We start from the raw sequence: 12,764 nt of genomic DNA, 5'->3' as shown, positions 1-12,764 counted from the left end.
GTGATCAAAGTTAATATCACCAGTGATAAGATATCAACACCACATGCCTCCTAATAGGCTGCACTGAGAAGGACACAATATCTCTTCCATGGTATTCCTACTAAAAGTGCATAACCTGAGAAGAATCATGAAAAACATCAGACAGACCTAAAATGAGGAAACTTTCACAAAATCACTGGCAAAATGTTTAACGTTCAATGTCACAAAACACAAAGAAAGACTGAGGAATGTCTCAGATTAAAGGAGAATAAGTAGAGGTGACAACTAAATGCAACATACAATCCTACATTGGATTCTGGATCAAGAAAAGGATATTAGTGAAATAATGTAAAATCTAAGTAAAGACTATAGCTTAGACAATAGGATCGTATCAACGTTAATTTTATCATTTTGATCACTGTACTGTAATTGTAAGAAATATTACTATTTGAAGAGTCTGGATGAGGGCATACTGAAATTATACAATATTTGTGACTTTTTTATAAGTCTGATATTATTTCAAAACTAAAACATAAACATTAAAGCCAAAATAGATGAATAAATGTGCCCCTATCTATGTCCCATCTGATAAATTGCTGAAAAAGAAAAAAGAGAATGGTCGAGAAATCTAAAGTTTGAGAATTACTGAATTAGATGACATATAAGATCCCTTTCCATTCTACAGTTTTACAATTCCACAAATTATGAAATTTAGAAAACCACAATGTGTCAGGATCAATTGCTTTGAGAAAATGTGCCATCAATTTAACCATTAAGAGATAATTTATTTGAATTTCTTTCATCTTTATGTCCACACCAAGGAAGTAGAATCAGCTAATGCTTTCATGAGAGACATCAACTACTTGAAATGAATGTGCTTCTTGTCTTTTCCACTAGTAAGTACATGTACACATGTATATAATCAATGCATGCCATTCTAGATAATACATGAAGTTGATAATTTAAATTATCCATACTCATCGTAACCTAGCTTGGTCTGACACCCAGCTTCCTAAGGCTCACAGTTGGGGTGTTCACAGATTAAAAATTTCATTTCAAATTGCCTTAAATATGCAGGAGATAAACTTGCTGCTATAGGTGTAGAAAATAACATGAAATATATTCTGTGGAACTGTTTAAATATAACCCACATAATTGGGCCTCCATGTTAATTTTTTAAAATAACAACATTCACTTAACTTGGCAATGTCCACACTTTAAAATGAAGGTAGAAAAGTATATTTGAATTTGAAAACAAATTCTCTAGCTAAGACTAGCCTCGGGAATTACTTATCATCCCTGATTCCTACACGTTGAAACATTGTTTTAAGAAAGTATTCCATGTTGTTTTTACCAAGGGTACTTTCTTCTCCTGCAGAAGAATGGTGAGAACAGACTTAGAGACAGCACCTTGGGGTTCCAGCTTTTTCTCTGCCACTTGCCAGCGCTGCCTCGATTTCCTCAGCTGTAAATAGAGAAGACTGGGCGAGAAGGGGATCTTATACCATGTATTATGGACCTCTTGGCAGTGTGATAAAGACTATGTCCTGTTCTCAGAATAATGCTTTTTGCTCATAAGTAGATAAAATATATAAAGTTACTCAAAAACCTAATGACAGAAAACACAGTACTCAAAATAGTTTTAAATGTGTGATATAGTAATATATGTATTTTCTTTAGTAGCACACTAAAGAAGAAGATCTAGCAGTGGGTTCAGTAACTACCATAATTTCACAGAAGTGATGGGCAGAGATGATGTCTTGAGATATCTACACTATAATATGATATAAAGACATCTTTGATTTCCACTGTGTCAATATCATGGGTATAGCTGATGTTCTTATGATTTTTTGTCCTCATTTGAAATAGAAAGAAAGAGTATATTTCAATTAGACGTTAGGGAACACAAAAATGTAATTATTTTCCCATCCAAGTTCACAGAATCCCCCTGGATTCTCTCCAAGGATCCTTTGAGTACAAACCTCTGGACCAGATGACCTCACGGTTCTCTCTTCCCCCCTCGAGCCAGTCGTTTCTCTAATCTTCTCTGGCCTTCCACCTTGAGGACCCGAGTCCATCATGTGTATGTGTGTGTGCCTCCCTCTGGGGACTCAAGTTTAACAAGATATCAAAATATTTCATTTGCGAGTCTTGGCTGCTGTACAGCACTTAGCAAAGCAGAGCCAGTTTTCCTAGTTGAGATTGGTCAACACCAGGTTCATTTGTCTAGTATTTCACAAAATATTTTCCCACATTTGTCCCACTGCAGTTTGAAGGCTGTAACTGACAATATAAATGTGCCCTAAGGTGGAAAGTCCGACCCCATTTCCCTGAGTGATCTCCAGGGTTGGCCATTACCATGCAGATGCCCGGAGTCAAGGGATCTCCATAGATCTGCTAATTATTCCCCAGACTTTTCCACCAGCAATAAAAATCCCATTTGTTGCAGCTTGTTTGTAGAACAGCCCCCATTTCCACAGTGGTGGTATTAATTAGCAAAAACCTGTGAAAATGACCAGAGTTTATGTGCTTTAAGGAGAGGGAAAGAAAGGAACCTGGATCACTTCTAAATATTCTTATAAATTCCCCTATTGCAACCAGGAGCTAAAAGCTCACTTGTCTTAGATACTGTGACTTTTAATGCTTGTAGTTCTAAGTGGGAATTAGTGAAGCCAATTAGTGAGTTCCCATTAGAATAGTGACTTGGTGAATCCTGAATGCAAATAGATACATTTCTCAGATAATCAATCACCATTCCCTGATGATCTAGTGGCGCCTGAAACTGAGCCTGGAGAGATCCTGGAAGCACCATTCTTAGAGGAAAGACCCCTGCTAGTGGGGAGCTGTAGAAACAAACCATCCCTCCAGGGTTCCAGAAGATATTCCAGATGATGACACTGGGCACTGGGGACTGGAGAGTGATGAAGGGTGTCCCTGTACTCCAGCCCAGGAGGACACACAAGCTTTAACCTCAGAGACATCTGATATACACACACAGGGACAGAGGCTGAAGGAGAAGAACGAATGAAGCTGTAGACGTTTTCGTCAATGATCTTACCAAGTTTTCCTGTTGGAGCAGCTTTGTTTCTTATATATGTTTGTGCTAATTTTTAAGTGGCCCTATTTTCTGTTTGTTACAGGTTAGCCACAGGAGAAAATGGTCTGTCCTACGCTTAAAAACCCAGTACTTAATCACTTGCTAAGCAAGTGTGACTCTAGCTTTACTTCTGAAGGGTTAACCAAATGGATAAAGGGTAATAATTCTTCCCTCTCTTCACTTTCAATGAGTGTTTCAGAATGTTTTACTCCCTAATTTCTACCTCGAGCCAACAATCACTGCTGACTTTAGCTAAGAATTCTATTTTTTAATATTTTTATAGCTGCAATGTGAGTTTCCCATGCAGTTTTTATTAACTCTGTTTCATTGCAAGGCCTTGCAAGCAAAAACGGCCCTTATTTTTATTTGGAGAAATCTATTTCGGTGACAATCTAGCCTCGGGGTAGCTATATGTCAATCTCTTTGCTTTTTTTCCTGTTGAAACAAGCATGGGAAAGTTGCAAGACAAACGCCACACAGGGCAGGGCTGAAGGAAGCAGCATACCGATCCTCATCTCTGGCCAGCTCAATTCCAGAAAGTGAAAGGAAAGTGAATGCCGAGGAGGTGCAACTATGTAAGGTAGAAGAAAACTTCTGCATGTCTACCCACTTTTATTCCCAACAGATGAAAAGGCTTAAATTCTCACCACTTATCAACTTTTCCCAGAAATGACATTATTTGGGATTATGCCGGGAGGCTGGAGTGTAATGTTTACAAGAAGCAGCATGTCTTCTTAAAAAAGAAATGGGACTAGGTGCCTGGTGATTCTGGACTGCAACCCCATGGCATCCTAAACTCTACTCACTGTGACCCCTTTGGAGATAAAGCCAAAACTCTACTCACTGTGACCCCTTTGGAGATAAAGCCTAGTCCTTCTGAGGTGTCCCACAGGGATTATCAAAATTCAAACCCCAGCACCCTACACTAAGAAATGGCAGTATGACAGCTGCACCAGTCCTAGGTGTGCACATCATGAGGCCACGTTTTCCAAACACACACAAGCTTGTCATCTGAAGCCTTGGCTGCTTGATTGAAAACAGTATTTGGATTCCCAAACCTTAAAGCTAAATTCTGAAAACAAATGGGAAAATATAACAGAGAGCAGGGGAAGTGTGAATATCTTTGAACAAGTCTGACATCGTCCCAGATTTTTACATTATTTCACTTAATCCCCCCGTCAACACTACCAAGTAGACTTAATACTCACCTTTTATATATGAAGATAAGGTTGGCAAGAGAATTAGCAGCCAAAGAAGCAGGTATAACTTATATTCTCTCTTTCTCTAGCACAATTAGAAAAAGACAAAGTTGGAAGCCACCCTAGAGTCCCTCTGGTTTTACCTCTTGTTTTTCAGTTTATGTGCAATAGAAGAGGGACAATCTAGCCCCCCACCTGTTTTTGTAAATGAAGTTTTATGGAGACACAGCCACACTTGTTCATTTACATATTATCTATACTTTTGCATTGCAAAGGCAGGGTTTAATAGCCACAATTAATATCATATAGCCTACAAAACCTAAAATATTTATTGTCTGTCCCTTTACACAAAATATTTGCCAATTCCTGCTAGAGAGCAATTTGAGAAGAACTGACATCTTAATGATATTGAGTTTTCTAAACCATGCATGTGGCATAGTTTTCCATTTATTAGGTCTTCCATGACTGAAATGTTTTGTATTTTTGTGTACAAGTCTTGCACATTTTGTTAGAAATAAGTTTAAGTATGTTATGCTTTTTGACGCTACTTTAAATGGTATTTTTAATTTTATTTTCAATTGTTTGCTGTTGGATACACAAATACTATTGATTTTGTATATCAACCTTGAGTACTGAAATCTTGCTACACTTACATATTAGTTCTAGAAGCTTTTGTGTCAATTTCTCAGGATTGTTACATAGATAAAAATGCCATTTGTGAGTAAAGAGTTGTATTCTTCTTTTCAATCTCTATGCCTGTTTTTCTTTTTCTTGCCTTATGGCACTGGTATGAACTATAGTACAATGTTAATGGAATTGGCCAGAGTAAATATTTTTGCTTTTTTCATGATCTGAAGGTGATTTAATAGCCACCATTAAGTACGAAGTTAGTTGTTGCTTTCTCCCTGGATTTTGAAGTCCACCCTTTCATTTCTTTGTGTCTAGTGACAATGATTTTTTTCACAGAATGAATGAGAAAATGGAGAGCCTAAATAATCTGAATGTGTATTATTGAGTCCTGCCATATGTTCAAGTTTTCTAGAGTTGACTGGTTTGACAAGGCAAAAAGGAGATGGGGGTGGTGAGAGAAAGTAGTACAAAAGTCCGCCTTTCTGTGCTGCTAATTGTTTGAGAGAAAGTCTTGAGTAAGAGCGTGAAATGGCACAACTGCCTTGGAAAACTGCTTGGTGGTTTCTTATGACATAAAACATACACTTTCCCTCTGACCCAGCAATTCCACTACTGGGTATCTACACAAAAGAAATAAGTGCATCTGCCAACAAAAGTCTTGTACATGAACTTTCATACCAGTTTTATTTGCAATGGCCAAAAATAAGAAATAACTCAAATGTCCATCAGCAAGATTAGATGTTTAAAGTGTGGTATAATCATACAGTGGCATACTATTCAGTAGTTAAAAGGAATAAACTCTTGATACACACAACAATGTGGATGAACTTCAAGAAGATAACACTAAGTGAGGGAAGCCAGACTCAAAGTAGTGAATATTGTTGGACTCCATTTATATGAAATTCTAGATCAGGTAAAACTAATCTCTAGTGATAAAAATCAGAACATTGGTTACCTGGGGTGGATGGAGGGGGAGGAATTGACTAGAATGGGGCAGAAAGGGACATTCTAGGGAGATGAAAATGTTCTAAATCTTGACTATGGTGGTGGATCCATGGGAGTATATATTTGTCAAAACTCAAACTGTATACTTCAGATCTGTGCATTTCACTGAATGTAAATTAATCCTCAAAGAATAAAGTTAGAAAAAGCAAACCTTGCACTTCAGCCTGGGCGACAGAGCAAGACTCCGTCTCAAAAAGAAAGAAAGAAAGAAAAAGCAAACCTGCAGAGCAAATGCAAAACATTAATAAATTAGTCTTCATTTATTTGATGTACTTTATCATTTGTCTGATGTAATTTCAGATACTTTGCCCCTGGTATGCAGAAGATCTGCTGAAGACCAATCGGCAGTACCATGGAATAGCTTTATAAGCAGGAGTCCAGCCCCACAATCTCTACCGACAGTACCGACAGACATCCCCCTACTAATAAACATACACACTATGCAAAAACCATTTGTGTGTCAAGCAAAGAAGCTTCAAAACTGGTTCCATACACCTTTTCCAACTGAACTGCAGGCTTCTGAGCCCTTCTAATCAGAAATTTGGGGGCCACCACTGTGAACCTCAAATCACTTAGTCAGCCAGCCACTCAGACTGAAAGCATCCTTTTCCATCCACTTGCAAACCCTTGTCCACCCTCTTAGCTTCCTGGGTTCACACACATGCCCCACCTACTGCTCTAAATCACTGGAGTAATTAACTAAACAAGTAAATGCAGTCCAGGTATCACGCTTACAACAGTACTGGAGATTTAGCCGAAGACCAGGCAACATTAGATATCACTACACTTACCACTTCTGTCTTCCCTTTTGTTCTCCTTCAGTCCCACTAGATACTGAGAGGTGTCTGCTTTCTCAACTGTTCTAGAATTTCTGAATGGGCTGCAAGAGCCTCCCCAGGAGATAAGAGACCAGAGAGCACAATTTTTATCTAGAGAGGCCTAAATCCTCACCGAGTTCACCACACCCTAGAATTTCAGAGGGCTCCAGAACCATAACATTTTTTTTTCCTTAAACCAAGACTCAGGCCAGAAAAACTGGGTTTCACCAAGCTCATCAGTCTGTCAGATCCAAGTGAGGCCTTTGCCCTTGCTGCACTTGCTTCCCAGGACCAACAGGCAGCCATGGTATCCAGCAGGTGCTCTATAAATGCTTTCATAAAATGTGCACTAGGGTAGGGAGATGGTGACTCTCTTTTCAGGGTACTGAGAAGTTTAAAGTGTGCAATAACAAATTTACTCATCTATACAAATTAAAATTGGTTGACTCATAAGAATTTTCTTTTGAATTTTTACAATTAGATTTTTTTTCCCCGTAAAGAATCCTTTGCTCTCCTGGGCTACACAGGGGCACACAGGCAACTGAGTTGAAATATCTGCTTTTGTTTCTAATCCAGGAAAGGTAGTTTAACAGAGGAGAAAAAGCAGCGACTTGGAGGCCAACCCACCCTAGCTTCTGACCCAGAACGTGTTACTTAAAACCACTCGGTATCTGAAGATAATAATTGCTTACATTGCAAGGTTGGGAGAGCCTGGGACCGTGCCTGGCATCATGCTTGGCACATATCTGGATCTCAATGATTGGATGTGTTTTTAGGAATAATAGAGCTTCCCTTTCTCTAGGCACATGGGAAAATTGGCCCTGAGCCCCACCACCCCCAGTCCATCAGCCTCTGCCCCATTCTAAATGTATCCCAGGGTCAGGGGTTCAGAAATGAAGTAGAACATGAGGGCTGTCTTAAGCCAGAGCGATGAAGTCACGTCCTGGTCCAGCGTTCACTCAGGCCTTTAGGGAACCGGAGAAGAATGATGCTTCGAGTGTCTGAAGTAAGCAAACAAAAGAGGAGACAAGCAGCCTGAGCTCCAAAATTCAAACCTAGACCCAGCAACCATTCCAAAACGGCCTCAAACTAGGGCACCACGAAGCATTATGTAACCAGAAGGCTTCTTTATTTATTCCACTGGCAAACATTTCCTGCTTGGTTTTGTATAAACACGGGTGCAGAATTTCCTAGCAGTCGTATCTTCTGTGGGGCCAGCTATCATTACCCTGTTTGGTTCTGAAGGCTGATCTCATTGTTTCAGCAGCTCGCTTCTCCTGCTCACACCAGACGCTTTCACTGGTGAATTACCTCCATTTAGGGATGGGGTTTGGTTAAACACTTTTGGATTTACAACACAACAAGATTTAATTGTCCAAAGGAGCATCCGCAGCATGAAAGAATCCCTTCCGCCAAAAACCTGGGAGCTCACGTGTAGTCCTCAGTTTTTCTGAGAGGTGAAAAGAATGCAAAGATACTTAAGGGCTTAATTCAGGCAAGGTTCTACCTTGGTAAGACCATATGGACATGGCAGAACTCAATATGTTCTAGAAGAATCCTAAGAATTTTACAGATATTAAATCATTCCATGCATACACACAATTCTATAAGACAGATATTATTTCATTTCCATTTTACAGATGAAGAAACTGAAGCACGGAAAATCAAGGTGACACAGTTAATAAATGGCAGAGCCCATATTCAAATCCAGTCTGGCAAGCTCTAGACTCTGTGGTCTTATCCGCTATGCCACATTACCTAAACACAGTTCCTAGGAACAAATAATATTTGAGCTGTGTCTTTCAGCCCCTGCCTCAGGCAACCATGCTCCTTTCACATAACAAATATTTATTGACAACCACCAATCTAAAAGATGCAGAGCTAAATAGGACATAGATCCTCTTCTCAAGACCTGTGCTGGCCATTTGCCATTGGCCACATTTAATTAATTTAAATTAAATAAAATTTAAAATTTATTTCCTTAGCAGCACTACCCACATTGCAGCTGCTGAATAGCCACATGTGGCTAGTGGCTGATGTCTTGGACGGTATAGATACAGAGCATTCCATCATCACAGGAAGCCCTCCTGGAGAGATGTTCCAGCCATTTGCTACTCAAAGAGGGTTTCCTGGACCAGCAGCATCAATATCACCTAAGAGCTTTCTAGAAATGCACAGTCTCAGGCCCTGCCTCAGACTTATTGGATCAGAATCTTCATTTTAACAAGATCCTAGGAGATCTGGGCATACTTTAAAGTTCACGAAGCACTTCAGTCTAGAAGCTTTTTTTGCCCTTAACTTCTATTTTGCCAATAATCTCAAACTCTTTTATCAGACACATACACCATTATTCCCATTCCCTGCTAGAGTACTCATTAAAGTATATTGTCTTATAATAAATGACTTAAAGAACCAAAGCTGTCCAAGTTAAAGGAATAAAAAGATAATGGAGTGACAGGCAGCGGGGTTCTGTCCAATATTCCTTCAAACTGCACTATGTAGAGGGGCACCCCTTCCTCCTGTAAGATGAGTCTGGGCAGAAAAGATTAGATGGGAGGGAACAGTGGAGAGACCTGAGCTTGATGGTCAGCACAATGGGGATCCCAGTCTTGGATCCCTTCCTAGTAACTGGATGACATTAGACAAGTTGCTAAAATCCTCTGGACTTTAGGTTCTCCATCTGTAAAATAAAGCAGATTGTGAGGCCCCTTCCACCTCTAAAACTTTGTGTTCCCATCGAGCTGGTGTGTAAAGGGAGGAAGAATTGGTCCTCTGGGGTGGGATGTCAGCCTTGGATCATGATGAGGAAAGAATTATAATATTTCAATCAAGTATAAAGGAATCTCACAATAAAGATCCTTCCTAAGCAGAAATCAACATGGAATAGAGCATCATGGACCCTGTACACAGTGGGGTCAACTGAGGCATATTGTAAAATGTCTCCCAGTGCTAGACTGATTACATTAATGGCCTCAATTCTCCACCCCTTTCTATGTCCACTATCTTTGCCATGTGACTGCAACTCCCATCAAGTGGTGTGGTCTTTTTCCCCTGCCCTTTTCATTCTACCATGTGACTTTGTAGTGCCCTTCTCCTCTGACCCTGGAGATGGTCATGTGACTTGTTTTAGACAATAAAAAAAAATAAAAAATGATGGCATACAAGTCCAAGCCTAGACCTTAAGATGCCTGAATACTTCCTCTCTTGTGCTTCTACCACCACCATGAACATGCCCGGGCTAGCCTGCTGGAGGATGAGAGACACATGGAGCAGAGCTGAGTGATTGCAACTGACCCAAGAAAAGCCATCCTAGATTAGCCAACAGCCAGCTGACACCCAGGCATGTGAGTGTGCCCAGTCAAAATCAGTGGAGGTGGCTAGTTTAGACAAAGCTGACCACAGATGCATGAGCCACACATGTTTAATTTTGTATGTTACTGAGGTGTTGCATTATTGATACACTGCATCATTGTGGTACTGGATAACAGACATACTCCCTTATAAGGCAGCATCACTGTATGTTTCTAAATACAGATAAGATTTGTGATTAAAATCATCATCATAGAATCTAAGCCCTTTTCATCCATTTCTAATTTAACTCTCACAACTACCCTATAAAGTAGCCTCTTAAAAATGAGAAAATTGACGCTGATATAGGTTAAGTCCCTTGCCCATAATTTCATGGCTTCTAAATGTTTGAGCCAGGATTTGAACCACGTTGTCCAATTCCAACTCTTTTTCTTTTTTTTTTTTTTTTTTTTGAGATGGAGTCTCACTCTGACTCCCAGGCTGGAGTGCAGTGGTGTGATCTCGGCTCACTGCAGCCTGTGCCTCCCAGGTTCAAGTGATTCTCATGCCTCCACCTTCTGAGTAGCTGGGATTACAGGTTCCCACAGCCATGCCAAGCTAATTTTTGTATTTTTTTTTTTGTAATAGAGACAGGGTTTCACTATGTTGGCCAGGCTGGTCTCGAACTCCTGACCTCAGGTGATCCACCCGCCTTGCCCTCCCAAATTGCTAGGATTACAGGGGTGAGCCACCACACCCAGCAAATCCAATTCCATCTCTGAGCTACATTTTAAAATGCCAGTGCTATCTGCATATTGTAAGATGACATGGAAAATGACTGGCCTAAGATTCCAGGCTCCACCCCAGTTCTTGCCAATAAAGAGTTGAGTAAATGAGAACATATCGTGGCTCTCTAAGCTTTGGTTTCCTCAACTTTAAGAGGAAGAAAATGAACAAGCTGATTTTAATTTTTCTTTTATTTCAACATTCCATTATTCTATAAGATACGAGCCTAGTTGGCCAGGCACAGTGGTTCATGCCTGTAATCCCAGCACTTTGGGAGGCTGAGGCGGGTAAATCGCCTAAGGTCGGGAGTTCGAGACCAGCCTCACCAACATGATGAAACCCCGTCTCTACTAAAAATAAAAAATTAGCTGGGCATGGTGGTGCACGCCTGTAGTCCCGGCTACTCAGGAGGTTGAGGCAGAAGAATTGCTTGAACCTGGGAGCCAGAGGTTGCAGTGAGCCGAGATCGTGCCATTGCACTCCAGCCTGGGAGACAGAGTGAGATGAGATTCCATCTCAAAAAAAAAAAAAAAAAAAAAAAAAAAAAAGATATGAGCCTAGTTTTTCTAATATCTAAGACTCCTTCTTGGAATGATAGAATCATATCTTAGAGGCTTTATGGTATTGTTTATAATAGACTTTGGGCAGAGATCCAAGTCTGATGGACATTGGGGTTCTGCTGGGGTCTCCTCCATCCCTGCTTGAGGTTGGATAAGCTGAGGTTGAAAACTCAAGAGTAAACACAGGAGCCAGATTGTTCTCCAGGGCTCAGAGCCAAAGGAGCCGGATGGATCTTACTACCATCACAGCCCTTGGCATCAAAAACAGCTCTCTTAGGGATTGTGCCAAGCATGGGAGGAAAATAATGTCATCTAGGGGCAGTTGGGGGGACAGAAAGAAGGCTGAGATAGAAAAAATGTACATATACAGACATCAAGGATAAATAGCAATAATAATAACAGCTAACGTTTATTAAATGTGTACAATGAGCTAGATTATGTGGTCGACATGGGAAGCACCTCCCAGATTCCTTTTCAGGAAAGGCTTGCTGCCCAGTTGTAGGTGTACAATCTGCATGCAGCCTCTAGCTGCCAGCTCCTTCAGGGTCTGCCTTTTCCACAGTCACCACACCCAAGCCACGTCCGTTCTTGGGCAGCCCACACCAAATGACTGATCTATTCAGAAATTTAAATGATTAGTCATCTCAATTCAACTCAGGACAGCTCTGGAGGGCTATGCTGGCTTCAGAGTCTATGTCTGGTTGGTTGAGGCTTCATCGGACTTATAACACCCAATCTTACTTCTTACCCCTTCTTTTCATGGGCATTAATGCTTAGTAAACATCTTGTTTACCAAACTCTGTCTCAGCACCTACTTCCAAGACACCAAACCAAACTCACTCTATGGGTTAATGGTGATAGTAAATACTGTGATATAATCTATTCGCCTGATGGAAATTTCATTTTGTTTAAAAATAAATAAATAAAAGAAAAAGGAAAAAGGAAGGAAGGAAAGGAAAGAGGGAAGGTAAAGGAATGAAGGGAAGGGAAGGCAAGGGAAGGGAAAAGGAAAGGGAGGAAGGAAGGGGAGGGGAAGGGAGGGAGGGGAGGGGAGAGGAGGGAAAGGGAAGGGAATGGAATGGAAGGGAAAGGAAGGGAAGGGAAGGGAAGGGGAAGGGGAAAGGAAGGGAAGGGAAGGGGAAGGGGAAAGGGAAGGGAAAGGGGAAGAGAGGAGAGGAGAAAATTAATAGAAGTTATGCACTTCCTAAGATTCTTGACTCACTACCATAGGCCCCCAGAAATCAAATTTGTGACACTTTTGGACCATTATGAAAGGAGTTGTCAGTGCTCAACTAAGCATCAGCCTGGATGAGGAAGAGAGAGAGAAGAGAGAGATAAACTTCTCCCCTCTGTTCCCAGATTGCTAACAATCCTTCAGGTTCTACAATAGCAGAGGAAGAAG

This window comes from Homo sapiens, chromosome 20, assembly GCF_000001405.40.
Source record: "Homo sapiens chromosome 20, GRCh38.p14 Primary Assembly".
NCBI lineage: Eukaryota > Metazoa > Chordata > Mammalia > Primates > Hominidae > Homo > Homo sapiens.
The sequence above is the reverse complement of the archived record's forward strand: the minus strand, read 5'-3'. Positions refer to the sequence as shown.